The 21975-nt window shown below is 40.2% G+C and overlaps 1 pseudogene, besides 1 other annotated feature; it reads left to right on the top strand.

The window, feature by feature from the left end:
• Positions 4043-4243: a silencer, noted in NCBI's record as "peak2382 fragment used in MPRA reporter construct". NCBI's record gives its function as "represses an SCP1 promoter by STARR-seq MPRAs in K562 erythroleukemia cells {active_cell/tissue: K562}" and the evidence as "EXISTENCE:reporter gene assay evidence [ECO:0000049][PMID:32103011]".
• NPM1P42 (nucleophosmin 1 pseudogene 42) lies at positions 11541-12720 on the top strand (annotated as a pseudogene).
• The last annotated feature ends 9255 nt before the right edge of the window (positions 12721-21975 follow it).

The raw sequence follows: 21975 nt of genomic DNA, 5'->3' as shown, positions 1-21975 counted from the left end.
CTACCACCTTCCAGGAGAACCCTGACTACACATGTGCAAATAGACAAATGGACTTTCTCCTTTCACTCCCTTGAAACAGATGCCCAGATTGGAGAATATGGTTACTATAGCCAAAAACCACTTTTGTCCTGTGTCTCTGACATTGTTCTGGTTCTCTTGGCTGGCTCTGGTGTGGAGATGGAGCCTTGGACTGATTGAGTTTGACGACAATGTCCGTTAAGATAAGCCAATCTGTTACAATTCTTTCTAGAAAGCAAAGTGACAGCTTGTATTAAGAGCTTTAAAAAGTCCATACCTTTTGACCCAGCCATCCCATTACTGGGTATATACCCAAAGGACTATAAATCATGCTGCTATAAAGACACATGCACACGTATGTTTATTGCGGCATTATTCACAATAGCAAAGACTTGGAACCAACCCAAATGTCCAACAATGATAGACTGGATTAAGAAAATGTGGCACATATACGCCATGGAATACTATGCAGCCATAAAAAATGATGAGTTCATGTCCTTTGTAGGGACATGGATGAAATTGGAAATCATCATTCTCAGTAAACTATTGCAAGAACAAAAAACCAAACACCGCATATTCTCACTCACAGGTGGGAATTGAACAATGAGAACACGTGGACACAGGAAGGGGAACATCACACTCTGGGGACTGTTGTGGGTTGGGGGGAGGGGGGAGGGATAGCATTGGGAGATATACCTAATGCTAAATGACGAGTTAGTGGGTGCAGTGCACCAGCATGGCACATGTATACATATGTAACTAACCTGCACATTGTGAACATGTACCCTAAAACTTAAAGTATAATAATAATAAATAAAAAATAAAAATAAAATTAAAAAAAAAGTCCATACCTTTGATCCAGTAACTCCCCTTCTAATAATTGTCAGAAATTCAAGCACACATATATGCACAATAGTTTATGTTGTGGTGTTATTCAAAATGGTAAAAAAAAATGGAAACAAATTTAATGTTCAGTAACAAGGGAAAGAGGTTAATAAATCATGGTGTCCCCATACATTGGCCTAGTTTGAAGCCATTAAAAATGGGTTTCCAAGAATTTTACTGGTAATAGGAAATATTCACAGTATAGCAAGTTTAAGAATTAGGATTCAGAATTGGGTAAATAGTATTTCAATTTGGTAAAATTATTACATGGAGAATCCTAAGTAAAATATTAAAAAGAAATTTATTAATAATTTAGGTGTTTATGGCTGATAATTTTTATTTTCTTCTTTGTATTTCCCATCAGAGAGGAGACTTACTTGTTTGTTTGGTGTAAAGTTGTCCATTCTGGTTTTTATAAAGATAATTGAATATATTTGCCATTTTACCACATTGTCACATATTATAGAATTTTCTTTTTCTAAAGGTTGAGTAATAGTCTCTGTATCGGGTACTGCATTTCCTTTGCCCACTCCTATTTTAAGTTTACCATTAGGAAATAATACATGAATATATGTTTATGACCTTCATATTATTCATTATAAATTAATAAAATGGCCTGACAGTTGTGGTTTTTAAAAGCATGTTTCAAAAATGAGGAAAACCCCTGCACTTGAGGAAGATGGTATGTAATGAAAGGAGGTTTTAGAGAGAATATAAACATTCTGAACTATTTTCATCTGTCTCCCTATCAAGAAGAAATGCCATCAAATAAGAATGAAGGAAAAGGAAGGCCAAGATAAGAGAGCAGATAGTGGAAAAATACTTTAACCAAATATACAAATAGGACTGTCTCCCTTTTGGCTGTAATATGAAGAGAAAATATGAAGAGGCCACTGTTCAAATATTTCATTAAGTGTCTTTGAATGGGTTGAATTTCTCGTGAACCCCTTAAAACCACAAGGGGTTTAAGGGTCAGGGGGTGCAGAAGGGATAGGATTTGAGAGGAAGAGTTATTTGGAGAGAATAGTTTGCGTGGTGTGGGGTATTTCCCCTTCATCTCAAGTTAAGAGGGAGAGAGGTTTCAAAGGATTGCAGGTATGGGGAATGGGGAGAGGGCAGGATGCAGTAAATTGGCGTCTGATTCTTGCCTGAAAAAATCAAAAGATTAAGAATGCTTGAAACACTTACTAGGCTCAGAGAGTGAAGAGCCATTTTACAAAAGTACCAAAGAAGAGCTTTCCTACTCCTCAGCCTCTTAGTACCGCCCCACCCTAGAGGAGTCAGAATTCCAGGTTTATAAGCTGATGTAGGAGAGGTTAAAAAAAAAGAAGAAACCAAATGCACACCGTTACCAGCTGTAAGCTTCCTGCCTGAGGCAGACTCAAACTGAAGAGGAAGATTTCACTTTAAACAAACTGTATAGTTTTGCTTGTTATATAAAAGTAGATTTCTAATATCTAAATTAAGACTATATTTAGTGACTTAAGGTGATTATAGTACTTTTATTTATCATGAGTGATATGATCAGATAAGTCACAGGACTGATAAATTTTCATCCATAGACAGGGAAAGGATATACCTTACTGAATAAATTTTAAGGGACAATGGGAGACAAAATAAAGTTGCTTTCTGCTTATATCTGAGGATCACATTTATCCCATGACACTAGCTAGCTTGCTTCAGTGAGTTTAAGCCAGCTGGTGCAGACAGATGACCTCCCAGATGATGGCAAGGGTTACCTGTAACATCTTTGATAGAACCTGGAAAATCAGAGAGAGTAGCCAAAACAGTGAAAATGGAAAATAGTGTCCTGATTTTTAAATGGGGTGATAAATGAAATTTACAATTTGATTGATGAGCACCCCCAGTGCCAACAAAAATCTAGAAGGGATTATTAAACAGATGGTTTCTGAGTACTTGAAAAAGAAAGTAATGTTTGCCAGAAACTAGCGTGGACTCACTAAGAACAAGCCTAACCTCATTTCTTTTTCTTTCTTTCTTTGTAAGTGATTAAATTAGTGGATTGGGGTATTTCATAGACTCTGTGCCTTGATTTCTGTGATGGCTTCTCCTAAATCTCTCATGAGTCTCTTGTGCAAAGGTGGAAACACGTCAATGGGGACTATGAGGTGAATTTATAGTTGGCTGAATAGTCATTCGTAGAGAGTGTTGATTAATGAATTGCCGGCACCCTGGAGGGGAGTCTCTGGTGGCATTCCAGTGGGCTTTATTCTGGCTTTGCCCAGTTTAATATTTTTTATTAATAACTCAGGAGATGACATAGAAGCCAATTTTATCAAAAGTGTGGAAGACATGAAGAAAAGATAGTGAACACATTTGGATGACTATAAATTTTTTAAAATTTGCAATCTCAGCTGGGCGCAGCGGCTCATGCCTGTAATCCCAGCACTTTGGGAGGCCGAGTTGGGTGGATCACCTGAGAAGTTAGGAGTTCGAGACCAGCCTGGCCAACATGGTGAAACCTCGTCTCTACTAAAAATATAAAAATTGGTCGAGCATGGTGGTGCATGCCTGTAATCCCAGCTACTCGGGAGGCTGAGACAGGAGAATTCGCTTGAACCCAGGAGGTGGAGGTTGTAGTGAGCCCAGATTGCACCACTGCACTCCAGCCTGGGCAACAGAGCAAGACTCCATCTTAATAATAATAATAATAAAATTTGCAATCACATGTGCTGACATATTTTTAAAATGAAAGTTTGAAACATCTGCAACCAGGACAAAAACTGTTTAGGGTTGATTCCAGAACAGTTTTCTTTCCTCTCAGACAAATGCTAACTTGCACAGCCCACTGACACTGTGGACCCTCTCAGTTACGTAGTTCTCTATGCCACTATCCCCAGAGACAACCTCTGCCTTACTCTCCTCATTAATTGTAATGACACCCCCAGCTCCTCCCCACAAACTGGTCCCAACATTGCCAGGCAGGCCCCACTGAGCCAAATGAGCCCCTTCAGGACCTTCCCCTGCTTAGGCCCCTGCCCTGGCTCAGCAAGGTTTTAACTCCCTGGGCATCCTGCCAACTCATGGCCCATTATCAGTCTCCCCAGAGCTCTGTGAGCAGGGCCAGGAATTCCTTTCCCTCCTTCCACCAAGTGTCTACTTGTTCCAGCATCCTAATCCCATATATCCCTGTGCATAAATATACATGTACTTCCTACTGGTATGAAACCTACAGGGATGAATGTCAAGTCTGCATTGTTTAAAAATTCAATTACACCAGTACAGAATGGGGGAGACCTGTCTTGACAAGAATCTATATTGAGCTTTTGGGCCAATTTGCCTAAGACCTATTTGCCTAAAGTCAACTTGCTTAAAGTCCCAACCATTGAAAATGTATATCATCAGAGAACATTTGTAGCATTTTATATAGGATAAAATTACTTTATAAAGCATTTTGAATGTTAGATGATTCTTCCTATTTTACCAATTTTTAAAAAATATTTTATCAATAATTAAGCAAAATTTTTAAAAGTTCTTTTATTTCACATGTCTATAGTTATTTCTAAACTTACTGTATGCCGCTTGGCAGTTTCTAATAAAGTTCTACTCCTAGGTATATACCAGTGTATTTTAAAACAAAAAGACTTCTGTAACAAGTATGAACAAAAAAACTCATATCCAGTTTGTTTGTTTTTTTTTTTAAGTGTTTTTTGAGACAAAGTCTGGCTCTATCATGCAGGCTGGAGTGCAGTGGCAGGATCTTGGCTCACTGCAACCTCCACCTCCCAGGTTCAGGCCATCCTCCCACCTCAGCCTCCTGAGTAGCTGAGACTACAGGTACACACCACCACGCCCAGCTAATTTTTTGTATTTTTGGTAGAGGCAGGGTTTTGCCATATTGGCCAAGCTGGTCTTTGTTTTGTTTTGTTTTTGAAATGGAGTCTTGCTCTGTCGCACAGGCTGGAGTGCAGTGGTGCAATCTCAGCTCACTGCAACCTCAGCCTTCCAGGTTCAAGTGATTCTCCTGCCTCAGCCTCCTGAGTAGCTGGGATTACAGGTGCCCGCCACCATGCCCAGCTAATTTTTTGTATTTTTAGTAGAGACAGGGTTTCGCTGTGGCAGCCAACCTGGTCTCAAACTCCTGACCTCGTGATCCACCTGTCTTGGCCTCCCAAAGTGCTGGGATTACAGGCGTGAGCCACTGCGCCTGGCCTAAAAAATTTTTTTTTAGAGACAGGGTCTTGCTCTGTCAGCCAGGCTGGAGTGCAGTGATATGACCATGGTTTACTGTAACCTTGAACTCCTGGGCTCATGTGATCCTCCTGCCTCAGCCTCCCAGGTAAGCAGGACTATAGGTGCACATCAGTGCACCTGGCTGATTTTTAAAATATTTTGTAGAGACGAAGTCTTGCTATGTTGCCCAGGCTTGTGTCAAACTCCTGGCCTCCAGTGATCCTCTTGCCTCTGCCTCCCAAAGTATTGGGATTACAGGCATGAGCCACTGTGCCCAGCCTCAGTTTTATTCTTAATAATCAAACACTGGAAAGAAAACAAATGTCCATCAACAGGTAAATGGATAAACAAATTCAGCTATATTCATACAATGGATTGCTACTCAGCAATAGAAAGAAATTAACTACTGATATCTTCAGCAACATGGATTAATCTCCAAAACATTACATTGAGCAAAAGCTGCCAGGAAATTGATAAGTACAATTCCATTTATATGAAGTTCAAGGACAGGCACAAATTGAAGTGTGGTGAAAGAATCGGTACAGTTCTTACCTGGTGGTGGAGAGGCACTGGGAAAGAGTATGAAGGAGTTTTCTGGAATATGGAAATATTCTATCTGTTCATCTGGGAAGTGGCCACTATGCAAAAAGTCATACATAACACAAAAAGTCACGGAGCTCTACTCTTAAGATTTGTGCATTTTACTATATGTAAATTAACACTAAATTACTGTTTTTAAATTTTTATATTTCATATGTTTTCATTAAAAAACACACGAAGCTTTAGTATTTTTACCTCTAGTTTGCTATTTAATTCAGTTTTTAAAAACTTTTTTGGAAAATGCAGATTTTTAGAGAAAATTAGCCACATGTTCAGGTCGAGACTTATTTAGTGAGCAGATGTCATTTGAACAGCAGAAGTGAGATAAATCTCTCAGAGCACATTCAGCTCCATTACAGTTTAAGTTTCATAACATCTAATAGGTAAATTTATGCTGGGCAATGAAACTAAAACACACAAAACTTCAGAACACAGCGTCCTGAGTTCAGGTAATTGTGGATATTTGCAGCTGGGCTTCAGCCACATGTAAATTTTTCTAGACTTTCCTCAGTCTCCATGGCCTCCATGGGCTCTCAGCCCCCGCCACAGCCAGTGTTGATCCTGATGGATGGTTGGCAGGCACCAGCTAGCATCCTGCTTCCATAGTCTCATTCATTTGGATCAATCCTAACCTACTGGGCATGCTTTGAATAACCATAAATTCCCTGAGGTTGCCAGAGTATTGTAGAGGTTGAAACTTTTGCATCATCTCTCAGGTTGGCTTGGTGTGGCCAGGAAGCAGGCTCTACAGGGCTCACCTGGCTGTCCATTCAGATTACCCACCTTCTTCCAGGACGATGGAACATTGTATAAGGAACAGCCCATTCCCCTAAGTCCTCCTGCCTTAACCAGCATGCCAGATGCAACGCACATGTAAGTAAAATCCGAATATTTCTCTGTGAATATTCACTTGAGGTTTTATTAATACATGCATAGTGTTGTTGTGGGCCTGGTAAAATCTCCAACAGGAACCTGGTCCCACAGTTCTAGCCATGTAATATTTTCTTCCTTCTTGGAAGATGGGAAGGTGTTAATAGATACAATTATTGTTCTTGAGCAAGGTAGGCTGAGTCATAGTGCTCTTTTTTGTAAGGAATCTGTCTGGTGACACTGAGCAGAATGAGCATAATTCAGTAATCCCTTGGTTAGAGACCCTCTTATTAAGGAATCCTCTTTTCTTTCTTTCTTTCTTTCTTTTTTTTTTTTTTTTTTTTTTTCTGAGACAGTTTCACTCTTTTTGCCCAGGCTGGAGCAAAATGGCATGATCTCGGCTCATTGCAACCTCTGCCTCCCAGTTCAAGTGATTCTCCTGCCTCAGCCTCCCGAGTAGCTGGGACTACAGGTGCACGCCACCACACCCAGCTAATTTTGTATTTTTAGTAGAGACGGGGTTTCACCATGTTGGCCAGGCTGGTCTCGAACTCCTGACCTCAAGTGATCTGCCTGCCTCAGCCTCCCAAATGCTGGGATTACAGGTGTGAGCCACCATGCCCGGCCAGAATCCTCTTTTCTTGTTCTTTTGCTCCATAAATAGATTAGGGAGAACGCTGCTCCTCTGTGTATCAAATAAGGCAAAAAGAAGTTGTAAAGAGACTGCATCATGGGCCATATGACTGTTCTGGCAAGAAGAATGAGAGAAATAAGGACTTCTGTCTTTATTTGAAGGGATGCTCAGATCAGGTAGTGGGTGGAAAACAGTATGAACAATGCTGTTATTGATTTTTTACCTTAGTTTATTATTTTTTTTGATGCTGAATTGGATAGCAATTACATGGCTTAGCCTAGACAACAGAGGGAGACCCCATCTCTACAAAATATAACAATAAATTAGCCAGACATAGTGGCATGTGCCTGTGGTCCCAGCTTCTTGGGAGACTGAGATGGGAGGATCACCTGAGTTCAGCAGGTTGAGGCTTCAGTGAGCAGTGAGCCGAGATCACGCCACTGCACTCCAGCCTGGGTGACACAGCGAGTCCCTGTTTCAAAATAATTTTTTTTTGGTGGGGGGAGACAGAGACTTACTCTGTCACCCAGGCTGGAGTGCAGTGATGCAATCTCAGCTCACTGCAACCTCCACCTCCCGGGCTCAAGCAATTCTCCTGCCTCTGCCTCCCAAGTAGCTGGGACTACAGGCACACACTACCACACCTGGCTAATTTTTGTATTTTAGTAGAGATGGAGTTTCACCATGTTGGCCAGGCTGGTCTCGAACTTCTGACCTCAGGTGATCCTCCTGCATTGGCCTCCCAAAGTGCTGGGATTACAGTCGTGAGCCACTGCACTCGGCCAAATAAAAATTTTTTTAAAAAGAAAGAAAAGAGCTTTGGCCAGTCTCTCAAAGCTCAGCCTGGCTCCAGGGAAAGTGGTTACCAGGTGTGGCAGGCCCTGAATCAGATGTCAGGGTGTCAGGCTGTGGGTAAAGGAGACAGCATATCATAAGGTTCTTTAGAAGCACAATCTCTGGCGTCAGGCTGACCAAAGATTCAATCCTGGCAAGCCGTTTTACCTCTTTAAGCCTCAGTTTCCTCCTCTGTAAACTGGAGTTAAAAATTACTTCACCAGCTCATCATGAAAGTTTAAATGAGATGATAAGTATAAAGTGCCTGGCACATAATAAGTCTTAATGTTATTGTTCTCTCATGACAAGAACAAGAACACACAGGAAGTGCTGGGTCCCTTTCCGAGATTTTGGAGAATTAAGAGGAAATGTAAAGTGGGAAATAGTCAATATCAAAATGGAAGGACTTCCTGGCCATTGAAGGGGCTTTAGAAATCTTGAAATATGAGGAATAATTGAGGAAACCTAGGGTGTTTTACTTGGAAGAGAAAGAATTATCAAATATTTAAAGAGCTACCTTGTATTCGAATAGGGGCTAAAGAGCCCTTTGCTGGCTGTTACCTTTCAACTCTCAATGAAATTCGGATCCCCAAAGCGTCCTGTCCTGAAGCTAGCAGAGATTGGAGGGCAAAGGCCCTGGCTCAGGGTTGGCAGCCGATGATATCCAGGGACCTGGATTGGAGGATGCTGAGCAGACACCAGGCTGGCCCTCTGGCTGGGGCAGAAGGACTTGGAACCCAGAACAGCCCAAGGAGCGGGGTGGAGAGTGGTTTATCCCAATTGGACAATAGCAGCCTTTTGGAGAGATACTGATGCTATTCCTAGTACTTTGTCTACATTTGAGAGAGGCCATTTCAGGTCACAGGAGCATTCCTCTTGGGTGGAGTGGAGTTTATTTCCTTGTGGTCTGGCCAGGAAACGCCAAGCCGGGTGGCCGAGAGGCTGGCCGTCTTGGCTGGAAGGCGAAATGCCTGGCCAATCGGTCTGTCTCCAGAGAGCAGACTGGCCCGCCTTGACTGGCCGGTCCTCTGGCCGCTGTTGCTGCCTGAAGAGCATCCCCCCTCCAGCCAGTGGATTTTCTCATTGCTAGACTTGTAAGTGGCGTGATTTATGACTCTGCTGATCCATGCTGGCCCCTGGGTATACAAGCTTTTGCTTCCAAGCTGGGAAGCGAATAATGAATTAATCACCCTGCCTCAGGTTCAATACGGAGCTGAGTGTTTGCAGATCTTTATTGTACTGTGCAAGCCAAGTCGAACTCCTCAATTTACACTTCTAATTCACTGGAGTTTGTGCAAGTCTGCCTGTTCCAGGGGAGCTGCAGCCTCGTGGCTGCTTAGTCTCTGAGGAAGCCTCACTTCCCCAGTTCCCAGCCATTCTCTCCCTCTAAGAGTGAATGAATGCCCAAGACTTCAGGGTGCTCAGAGAAGCCAAGCCACTTCCTCAGAGACTGCTCCCTTGGATGTCTCTTGTCCTAAATGGTGTTGTTTATGACAGTTCTCAGTGCAAAAGAGATAGCTGCACCGCCTGATGCCAGCCTGTGTGCATGGCATGGAGAAGGCACACAGGAAATGTTGGTTGAATGAATAGCCCTGGCGCCACCAACACAGATGTTTATCAAAACTAATGGTTTGCAGTCAGGGCTGGAGTCTGTCCTCTTTTCCTTTGTTCTGGTTCTCTAGGACTTGGGGAGGAGAGTTTTTACTAGGTCTCAGAGCTGATGAGATCTGAGTGATGAGATGGGGCAAATTCTCAAGTTCACTGAGAAGCAGTGGGAGGCAAAGTCTGCATTTGAAGATTTGGGGCTTCCCAGTTTTGGCCATTTTTCTTCACCACCCAAAGACATATGCAGGTACTTTTCACTCAGTGCTTGAATGTGAAAAGCAGGTGCACAGAGTAAGGCTGACCCAGGCTTTATCCTGATGGGCTCTAAGAAGGGGGCACATCTATTCTGGGGACACATTCTTCCTGACCGAGTGCAGCTGAGATGCTGCCTCGTCTATCTCAGCATCCAGCCTCCCCACAATGCACACATCTGGTCCTGCAGCCCAGAGGGACCACCACACCCGCAGTGTCTCTTCTTGGGGCTTTTGTTCACCTTGTTCTATTCTCCTACTCCTTGCCTCTTTCGCTGCTACTTGTTAAGATTCCTCCTCCTCCACTCCTCAAGACCTGCCTCCAAAGCTATCCCATCTCAAACCTTTCCAAGCTGCTTCAAATCCATGTGGTTTCCTTTCCCTTTTGGCCTCAGCCACATGCTGCTTGTCCTTTTAGCCCTTCTCTGACTCTGACCCATGTCCTCATCTCCTGGCCGACTGGGCATGGCTTCTGCATTGTCACTCTAATTACTGGTAGAAATGTAAGGACAAGAAAGAGCTGAGGGCAGCCCAACACCCACCATCAGGAACTTCCTTACAGATTAGCTACAACTACCATCTTCCACTCATCAGACACAAACATTTATAGAGCCCCCTACTCCACCCAAGCACTGGGGTTGCAACAATGAACACGACTTTACCTCTTCTTGTTTCTCCCCTCCAAGCTCCAGACACATCGACTTTCTACAATGCCCTCAAACCCACCATGTCCTCCTGCCTCAGGCTCTTGGTATATGATCTATGCCTGAAACATCCTAACTCTCCTTCTCTTCTTGTTTATTCATTCTGATCTTTTAGAGCTCAACTCGAACACCAATTATTCAGGGAAAGCTATGCGGGAACCACCACCAACACCACTGCTCCTTGGTCTGGATGTTTTCTCTGAACCCCTAATCACAACTGTACCTACAGTCATTCATTATGTTGTCAGTTGTTTCCTATTCATCCTCAACCAAACCCAGGATGGAAGCTCCCTGAGGGCAGGGCCATGCCTTTCTTGCTCACTGCTCTATTTTTATTGCCTACAACAGGACCCTACATAAAGGAAGTGCTCAACAAATATATTTTAAAGAAATAAAATGTATCATTAAAGACATTTTAAAAATATCATCTTGTATTCTAGTCTAGGAGACTTATCAATGGGAGAAGCGTGGTCAGTGAGCATGAGAGCCAGGCACTAGTGATTACCATTTCACATGCCATTCCAATTTCTAGAAAACACCAGAACAGGACGGAGGGGAAGAAAGATGCTGGTGAAGGTGCTTTCCTCTTGCAACACACTGCTCCCACAGAACACTGCAGGCAGAGTCTGAGATAGGAGGAGTCCTGGTAACAATGCATGTTGGGGATTGAAATTTTTGGTGTGCTCCATCATAGAAGACCCAGGGACTGTACCTTATGAGATTCAGCTAGCCATGGGCTGAGCTGTGCAAGTTCACCTGCTGTCAACTGAAACCAAATGGGTTGTAGAGTAGGGCCTTTGTAGAACTTATAAAAACATAAGATTAGCAGAATATTATTCACCATAGAAATCAGGAAAAAAATCCCTGGTGTGATTCCATCCTGCATGGCTGTTCTCTGGAGCAGTAGTCATTTATCTCCATCCACCTTCTCTCCCACCTAAGGGTGTGCCACCATCCCAAGGAAGATTCGATGGACATGGACATGAGCCCCCTGAGGCCCCAGAGCTATCTTTTTGGTTGCGAACTAAAGGCCAACAAAGATGATCACTTTAAGGTGGATAATGATGAAAATGAGACCAGTTATCTTTAGGAACAGTCAGTTTAGGAGCTGGTGCAAAGGATGAACTGCACATTGTTGAAGCAGAAACAATGAATTATGAAGACAGTCCAATTAAAGTAAGACTGACAACTTTGAAAATGTCTGTACAGTCAACGGTTTCCCTTGGGGACTTTGAAATAACACCACCAGTGGTCTTATGGTTGAAGCTTGGTTCGGGGCCAGTGCATATTAGTGGACAGCACTTAGTAGCTGTGGAGGAAGCTGCAGAATCAGAAGACGAAGAGAAGGAGGATGTGAAACTCTTAAGTATATCTGGAAAGTGATGCCCCTGGAGGTGGTAGCAAGGTTCCACAGAAACAAGTAAAACTTGCCGCTGATGAAGAAGAATAAGAAGGAGAAGGAGAAGAAGGAAGAAGAAGATTTTGATGATGAGGATATTGAAGAAAAAGCACCGGTGAAGAAATCTATAAAGATGCTCCAGCCGAAAATGCACAGAAGTCAAATCAGAATGGAAAAGACTCAAAACCGTCAACACCAAGATCAAAAGGACAAGAAACCTTCAAGAAACAGGAAAAAAAAAAACCTCCTAAAACACCAAAAGGGCCTAGTTCTGTAGAAGACATTAAAGCAAAAATGCAAACAAGTATAGAAAAAGCTGGTTTGTTTCCCAAAATGGAAGCCAAGTTCGTCAATTATGTAAAGAATTGTCTCTGGATGAATGACCAGGAGGCTATTCAAGATCTCTGGCAGTGGAGGAAGTCTCTTTAAGAAAATCGTTTGAACAATTTGTTAAAAATTTTCCATCTTACTTCATTTCTCTAACAGTTGCTATCTGGCTGTACTTTTTATAATGCAGAGTGAGAACTTTCCCTACCATGTTTGATAAATGTTGTCCAGGTTCCATTGCCAAGAATGTGTTGTCCAAAATGCCTGTTTAGTTTTTAAAGATGAAAATCCACCCTTTGCTTGGTTTTAAGTATGTATGGAATGTTATGATAGGACATAGTAGTAGCAGTGGTCAGACATAGAAATGGTGGGGAGACAAAAATATACATGTGAAATAAAAGTCAGTATTTTAATAAAAATAAATCAAAAAAAATAGAAAATCACTTGGCATCCTTAATTAAGGCATGCAAGAAGACATCCCATTTCTGCTCTCTAAAGCTTGAGCAGAAAGTCATATCCAAAGGAAGCACTAAAATTTTTAAGAAATGCAATGACCTGTGTGCAAATTCAAATTGGAGACAGTAAAAAAGAGAATTGACCCTCAGAAACCCAAATAGTGATGTCAAGGACGAAAAAAAATCTGAGAAACTTTTTAAAAGAGAAAAAGAAAGTCATGAAAATGATAAAGATACACAAGGAGGATTTTAAAAATTAGGAATCTGGCTGAGCGCACTGGCTAACACCTGTAATCCCAGCACTTTGGGATGCTAAGGCAGGTGGGTCATTTGAGGTCAGGAGTTTGAGACCAGCCTGGCCAACATGGTGAAAACCCATCTCTACTAAAAATACAAAAAAAAAAAAAAAAAAAAAAAAAATTAACCGGGTGTGGTGGCGGGTGCCTGTAGTCCACTATATACATATATATATATATATATAGTGAGACGTATGTTTGTAAATATATATTCCTAATCTATATACATATATAATATATTATATATATAGGAGAGTCTCACTATATATATAAATATATATATGAGAGTCTCACATATATAATATATATGTATATAGATTAGGAATATATATTTACAAATATATATTAGAAACATATATTTATAATATACATTATTTATAAATATTTCATATATATATATATTAGGAATCTGCCTTAAGTAAATTAGATGTTTTCAAGGCAACAATCAGAACATTTGAAATAAGCAATAATTGAAGACCCACTAAAAAGATTTCCCTAAGTGGTAAAATGTCCTAAGCCTGCATATTGGAAAATTTTCCTACATTCAAAAGGTAACACAGAGAATCAGCATCTGGGCACATCCTGATAACACTCTTGAATTCTACTAACAAAGATTCCTTTAAGGATATAGGCACACAAAATCAGTTATCTACAGGGACAAAATTAGATTGACCTCAGACTCAACAACATTAAATGCCAGAGAACATGACAGTAATAGCTACAAATATTTGAGAGGAAAGCTTTGTGACACAACATGGTTAAGCGTGGCCACCGTGACTTCTATGGATAAAGGCCATGGAAAGATATTTTTAGAAAATATACCATCAACATCGCCTTCTTATATATCCTTCTTTTAAAAATTACCCGTAGATGTGCTCCTGCAGACTTCAAGACAAACCAAACCAAGAACTCAAAAACAAATGGGGGAAGAAGATAGTTTGGCGGCTTCTTACAAAACTATACATAAACCAGCAATTGCACTCTTTGTTCTTTACCTGAGTGAGTTGAAAGCTTATGTCCCCACAAAGCATACAAATGTTTATAGTGCCTTTACTCATAACTGCGAAGCAACCAAGATGTCCTTCAGTAGGTGCATGGATAAATAAACTGGGACATCCAGACAATAGAGTATTATTCAGTACTAAAATGAAATGAGCTATCAAGCCATGAAAAGACCCACAGGAATGTTAAATGCATATTACTAAGTGAAAGAAACCAATCTAAAAAGGCTACATACTGACTGATTCCAGCTATATGACATTCTGGAAAAGGTGAAACTATGGAGACAATGGCTGCCAGGAGATTAGGAAGAGGGAGGGAGAGAAGCATGAATAGGTGCTACACAGGGAATATTTAAGGCAGATACATGGTTGTTATGCATTTGTCAAAGTCCGTAGAATGTGCAACATCAAGAAGGAACCCTAAAGTAAACTATGGACTTTAGTTAATAATAATGTATCACTATTGGCTCATCAACTGTAACAAATGTATCACACTAATGCAAGATGTTCATAATACAAGAAATTGGGGTGGGAATAAAGGGATATATATGAGTGAGGAGATCTCTCTTTACTTTCCTCTCATTTTTATTTTTGTAAACCTAAAACTACTCCAAAAAAATATATTGATTTAAGTGGAAGTAATGATATCAACGGATTGGCAAGTCTTCTTAAATTAGATCCCAAATTCGGTTGAACTGCATGTATTCAGTGGTCTTCAGTACCCTGAGGGCAAAGCCAGACCCCAAAGTCCTTCCCTTGGTTTTCTGCTGTTTTCTTCAAGCTCTGCCATGTGAGAACTCTGTTTGCCATTTTTCTTGCCCTATTTGATGGCTCTTGAGCAATCACAATTCTCTTCTGGTCCAGTTCTTACTAACAGAGGTCACATCCTTTATGTTGTTGGTATTCTATGCTGGGAGAATCACTAAAGACTTTTATCTTTCCCTTTACAACAGTGGAGCCGCACATAGTGACATAGCAACCTTTTTCACAATCAAGGAAGCTGAATAGCTGAGAAACTAGTCAATTTACATTATCCAATGCCCAAAGGCTCAGATACAGACAGCACCAGATACCTTGGGAAGTAGGAGTAAAAGTTGATCTGAAAAGAGAAAAGTGGGTGAAAGTCTGTTAAAGAAGCACATATCCCCCAGATACCCTCATCCACTCAGCTCAGCTAGGGAGCAGTCTCTCCCTCACTCTGTAGAAAACTGTAGGGTTATTCTCTGGAGAGTACAAAACAAGTTCTCTAGGCTAAAAAATACCAGACACAATTGAAGGCAAGGATGAGATAATGGAAGCTGATGCATCTAGCTTTCTTCTCACACCTGGATTTCAGAATTCTAGAAACCATATACACACTTCCAGAAGGAAACTGGGAGAAACTTCTATGGGACTCTAACTAGTCTCTAAGAGAAAAAGAAAAACTAAGAAATTAATAACAGGATTCTCTGCAAAATGACCCAGGAGGACCACTATATTGTGAAACCCTCAGTTGACAAGACTTTTCCACTGGCCTGAATGTCTAACCAGCTTTTCAGTGCCCTACTCCTTTAGGTAGACAGTATATGAAAAAACAACATCATTAATTATCAAGGAAATGCATATCAGAACCATAATGTAACAATACACACCCTCTAGAATGTCTAAAATTAAAAAACTCACAATACCAACTGTTGATGAAAATTCAGAGCAATTAGAATGCTCACATTGCTTTTTTTAATTTTTTGATTATACTTTTAAGTTCTAGGGTACATGTGGACAACGTGCAGGTTTGTTACATATGTATACATGCGCCATGTTGGTGTGCTGCACCCATTAACTCGTCATTTACAGACCTTCACTTACCTTCCTTTCTCTGTTCCTCTAATAACTTGATAAAGGTAAAATGTCAACAATGTCTCTAGGCAACATTACTTTTGGTAGAAATAACTCCTATTGGATAAATTGCATCTGGACTCAGGATAACCATAAATGATTGGGACAATCATTTGGGACATCATATCTGATTGGGACATCATAGCTTTTGGTTCCCCTGAGTGTGGTGACTCCTGTAACTCCATATGCCTCCATAGGGACCCTGAAAGCTGTGTCTATGAAGTTATTGTAAGATATTGGCTACTGTGGTGCATGGAGCTTCTAGGCCAGGGTGATTCTTACACCTGCCTGATGTGGATCTTGTTGCTTCACACCTGAAACATCATTTGAGAAGCCTGGGAAGTGGTGTGGCTGCTGCATGGCTGCTCCAAGAACTACTCCCATGGGAGAGGAGCTCCCAACAGTGCCTTGCCATCCAGCTTTGATTTCTACCTTACATACCTCTGAATAAACTGTTGCCAAATGAGAGAAAAAAAAAAGAATGCTCATGTTGCTGATGAGAGTGTAAAAGTGGTATAACCACTTGGGAAAATAGTTTGACAGTTTCTTATAAAGTTATGAATACCCTTGCCATAAAACAGTAATTTCAAAACTTGGTATTTAGCCAAGAGAAATAGAAATGTTTTTCCATATAAAGAGTTGTACATGAATGTTCATAACAGCTTTGTGCTCCAAACTGAAAGCAAGCCAAATGTCCACCAATAAATGAATGAATAAACAAATTGTGGTATATTAATATAATAGAATTAATTAATAGAATAGAATAAAAAGGAAAGTAAACCACAGATTCATACATGATTGAATTTCAAAAACATTAGATATACTACTTTCCCATGAAATTCTAGAGTCAGCTAAAGTAATATATAATGGCATAAAGCAAATCAGTGGTCCCTGGGGCTGGAGGTGGGGGCAGTGGGAGGGGGACTGTAAAGGGGCCCCAAGGGTAATGGAAGTGTTTCATGTTTTCATTGTGGTGGGGGTCACATTTTATTTTTCACATGCCTGCCAATGTATGTCACATACCTGCCAATACATGTCAAAATGTATTGAACTTTACATTAAAATTAGAACATTTGTTGTATGTAAATTATACCAATGGAATGAAAATACAAATTATATCTCAGTGAGGTTGACTGAAAAATAATTCATGAGACAGCCAAGGATCACTGAACATTGAAGGAAAGCATGTAATATGGAAGGCAGAGGCCTAGGGAAAACACATAGAAGAGGCAAGATGAAGAAAACAGACCTTTTATGGATAAGAAAACATTAAAAAATAAAATCTCACCATTAATCTTCAGAGATATCTTCTTCAAAAATGATACATCTACAAAACAAGAAAGGTTGCTATAGGAAAAGATTATTCAGAGAACAAAAAAGAACTTTTGTAAATTAAAACTACAATAGTAAAAACTTTTTAAACTGAAAAAGGAAAATTGGAAAATTATAGGAAAATCTTCCAGAAAGTAGAAGGAGAAAACTAAAGGGATGAAAATAGAAAATAAAATTAGGGCCCAATTTAGGTCCAAGATGCAAATTATAGGAGTTCCACAAAGAGAAAAGAAAGAAAACAGAGAGGAAAAAAATCATCAAAGAAATAATTCAAGAAAATTTTCCAGAACTGGAGGCTAAGCATTTCCAGATTGAAGGAGCCCATTGAATATCTAGTGGATGAAAACAGACTAAATCACCTCGTGACAAAATTTCAGAAACTAAAGACAAAAAGGAAAGGCTTCTAGAAAGGGGGAATAGTCAAAAACCAGAATTGCTTTAGGCTTCTTGGTTACAGCATTAGAAGCTAGAAGACAGGGACTCTTTCAAAAATTCTGAGGGAGAATTCTAACTGATGTAGAATTTAAAATCTAGCCAAATAGTCGATTATTGATGAGGGTATAATGAATTTTTAGACATGGAGGGTCTCAAAAATGTACTTCTTATGTATTCTTTTTAGAATATTAGTAGTTAGGAAACTACTAGAGATTGTGATTCATCAAAACAAAAGATTAAATGTAGAAAGAGATGGGGGCTGGGTGCAGTGGCTCACGCCTATAATCCCAGCACTTTGGAGGCTGACGTGGGTGGATTCCTTGAGCTCAGGAGTTCAAGGTCAGCCTGGGCAACATGGGGAAACCCCATCGCTACAAAAAATTCAAAAATTAGCCGGGCCTGGTGGCATGTGCCTGTACTGTAGTTCCATCCACTCAGGAGGCTGAGGAGGGAGGATCACTTGAGCCCAGGAGGTAGAGGTTGCAGTGAGCTGAGATTGTGCCACTGCACTCTAGCCTGGGTGACAGAGGGAGACCTGCCTCAAAAAAAAAAAGTGGGAATCAGAGACTGGAGTATCTAGGAAGGAAATGAGGGAACTCCCCAGATGATGGTGAGGAAGAACCCGAGATAACATCTGTATCACAGCCAGCTCAAACTAGAGCAGGTCAGAGGGCTACAGGGGCAGGTACTTCAAGAAAATGAACTTGAATAAATTGCTGATGCATCTGGAGATACCGTGAGCAGATTTGGGGAAGCAACTGAGAATTTGGGCTTGAGTTGGTGATAATAATGCACAAAAAAACTAAGCAAATAGAAAAATTAAGACAGGTCATTCCAGGGCAAATAAAACCTTATTCAGGAAAGGAAAAGTAGCCTTAATTATAGGACACTCATAGTTCAGCTATGAATAATGCTTACATCATCAAAATATTATAAATATTGAATATTAATGTAACCAAATTTATGAAGTAAATGAATTGAGAGCATAAGGAGATGGAAAATATGCGTGCTTGTGAAAAAATCTTGAAGTAGCAGTAGAAGCATGTTATTTAATAATTTAGAGGAAAATGGAATCAGCTAAAGAGTTGAATGTGGTTGCTCCAGAGAAGCAAGAAATTAAGGGAAAGCGTAATGACTGTAATTTTTGTAACAAGTCTTGCAGACCTCTGAAAACCCAGCATGTGATACCTAGCTCCTTGGAGAAATGGCTGATTCCAGGGCTAGGACAGGATGGGTACAAGATAAGCCTAGAGCAGATCGTTGTGCCAGAAAGTAACAAAGTGCTCGAGGAATGCTGGAAGCAGTTCACAAGGACATGAGCCAGCTTGAAGGGGCTCCCTCTGGCCATCTCTGGGACACCCTGAACACCAAAATACTTAAATACAATAATGTGTTATAAACAGGTTGTTGTGAAAAAAATAATAATTAGCCTATACTGAAAATGATAAATAACAAATAGTAAACACATAAATGGGAGAGAAGGGAGGTCTCTTGAAGAAGGCCAGAAGTCCACCAGTGAATGTGGAAGGAGTGCTGGAGTTAGAAAACCATCACTTTGTAATCATCATGCTAAAGATTGGATCAGTCAAGGATCATCAGTAGATACTAATTCTAGAGGAAATTTTGATGAGAAACAGAATATTTCTATGGTCTTAAAGTGTCTATCTACAGGCCACTTATTAGTTGCAATGAAGAAAAAAAGGAAACTAATTCTATAGTGGGAGAAATAGGATGACACCTTGACAGGATGATCAAAATTAAGCACAGCTATGAGGGATCAGTGAACATTATGTGCTTCCAAATGTGACACCCTGAAAAGGACACAGGATCTCCAATACAGTATTCTGGCCATGAAGACATAGCCATAATTTAATCAAAATGAAACATTTACATAAATGAGTAACATCCTAGTTAAAAATGTAGGTGGGAGGGACTGCATTCTCGAAAGAAAAGTCATTGTCATAAAAGTCAAAAAAAGCTGTGAAAATGTTCCAAATTATGACAACTAATCACAATACTTGACCCTAGACTAGATTCTGTGCTGAAGGAGAGAGATGCCATTACAGACATTATCAGAGCAACCGACAAAACTGGAATATGGACAGTAGATTAAATAAAATTATTGTATCAATGCAAGTCATAAATGTATGAAATTGATAACTGTACCATGGTTATGTGAGAAAATATCTCCATTCTTTGGAAATACCAAAGTATTTAGGGGTAAATGACCATGATCTATAACTTACCTTCAAAGGTTTCCCAGAAAAATATTCTGAGAGAGAGAGAGAGAGAGAGAGAAAAACACAATAAAGCAAATGAGTTTAAGATGTTATCAATAAATAAATTAAGATATATGAGTGTTCCTTATTCTATTTTTATTTTTTATAAGTTAGAAATTATTGTCAGATTAAAAGTTTGAAAGAAACTACACACATTTTAATAACTCCAAAATGTTAATTACAAAAGTAATAATACTAAAAAAAGAGTAATAATCCAAGAAACAGTTTTTCTTGTATTATTAAGAAACTTATAAACCTTAAGAAATAAAATATTACAGAAGCATTTGAAAAAAAATCACATTGAGCAAACTGAGTATTGAATAGGTTATTTGGGAAAGGCTAATAAACCACAGATGTCATAGATACAGATAGAGATCAGTTATAGATTAGATAGATAGATAGTAAATTTCCATGTCCTGCTTCATGTTTTTTTCCATCTGGAATCTGTTAATATGTACTCACAATGCTTAAAGTTCAGCATATACTGTATGGTCTCAGTGATTTGAAAAACACTCAAGTATAGCTACAAAAATTATATTTAAGAAAATATATACAACTGAATTTCATTTTCTGCTTCATAAATTTATGTATTTTCCAAACTTTCTCTAATAAGCATATATTACATTTATCAATATGGATGCAATTTTTAAAATCAGCCTTATAATTTTACATGTATTATATGATCAAAATCATGTAAAACTACAGACAGAAAAGATAATGTATAAAAATGATTATGATTATTTCTGGGTGGTGAGAACATGATGTTTTTTTCTTCTTTCAGTGTTTCCATATTTTCCTAATTACTGCTATTATGATAAATCATTTTCTTTTTTATCAATAAGAGAGTTACAGATTATTTTAAAGTGAGGTCCTCACCTCACTCTATGCACCAAAATTAATTCCAGTGATTTTAGAGAATTAATTTTACAAATTTTAGTGAACTAGGAGAACATAAAATCAAATACGAATCAAACCTCTTGAAGGGAGTGGTTTTCAAAACTTAGGAATATTAAGAGAAATCACAAAGAAAAAGATTTGCTATGTAAAAATTGTGTAATATTGTCTTCAGAAAAGCATCTTAAGTCCTGAGGGCGTAACTCCACACATTGGAAGATATGCTGACATAAGCCTCCTAACCATTCAGCCCACTGGCCTTAATCTTCGTCCAGTCCCCTCGCCTTCCCAGCTCAGGTTGGCCCTCGTCATTCATTCCCTTCACTCCCACCTCTCCTGCAAGACAACCTGAGGGGTTCTGGTGCAACAGGCACCCTTCTTGACCTTGGCATGAAGCAATTGCAATTCTTGACACTCTCCATCCCTCTCTTTGCTTCCTGACTCTACTAAGGATGAAAACTAGAGAAAGCCAGTATCCCTTTTTTTTCATCCCACTTCCTGCCAGAAGGCTCTCTTCCCAGCTTGGCCAAGGACTCCTGCAGAAGGGCCAGTGAGGCATCCTCCTCTCTCCAGGACGCGTCTTTGTCTCGATCGCAGTGCTGTCTCCGGCAGCGAGGCACACCATCTGCTCATGCCTCCCACCAGCTGCCGTCTCAGCTCTCTGTCTCCCCTGAGAACACCCTGACTTTCAGGCCCATGGTATTCTCTCCCGCCCTTGCTCAGGAGGGGGCCTTATCTTCTGGGAGCTTTCATAATCTCTCCCCATCACTTAGCATAGCCCTGGTTTCCCCGTGAGGCCCGAGATCTGGAGCCCTCCCTGATGAGTCCCCTACTGTCATCTATGCCATCACACGGGGTGATAGCAGAGGGCGTGCATCTTGGGAAGTGCTTGAGAGAGCTCACAGGGGACTTATAGCTTCCGCCAGGAGGAAAACAGATCCTGGGGCTCCAAGTCCCAGGGGATCTTAGTTTCAGTTCCCATATGGAGTCTCAAACCTGTGAATCATAACCAAAGTTGAAATTTTACTTTGGTATCTGTGTAGGGAACACTCTCTTCACACTGCTTCTTTCTCTGCTCTCACACCAC

The sequence above is a fragment of the Homo sapiens genome, chromosome 15 (genome assembly GCF_000001405.40).
Source record: "Homo sapiens chromosome 15, GRCh38.p14 Primary Assembly".
Lineage (NCBI taxonomy): Eukaryota > Metazoa > Chordata > Mammalia > Primates > Hominidae > Homo > Homo sapiens.
The sequence above is the reverse complement of the archived record's forward strand: the minus strand, read 5'-3'. Positions and strand labels throughout refer to the sequence as shown.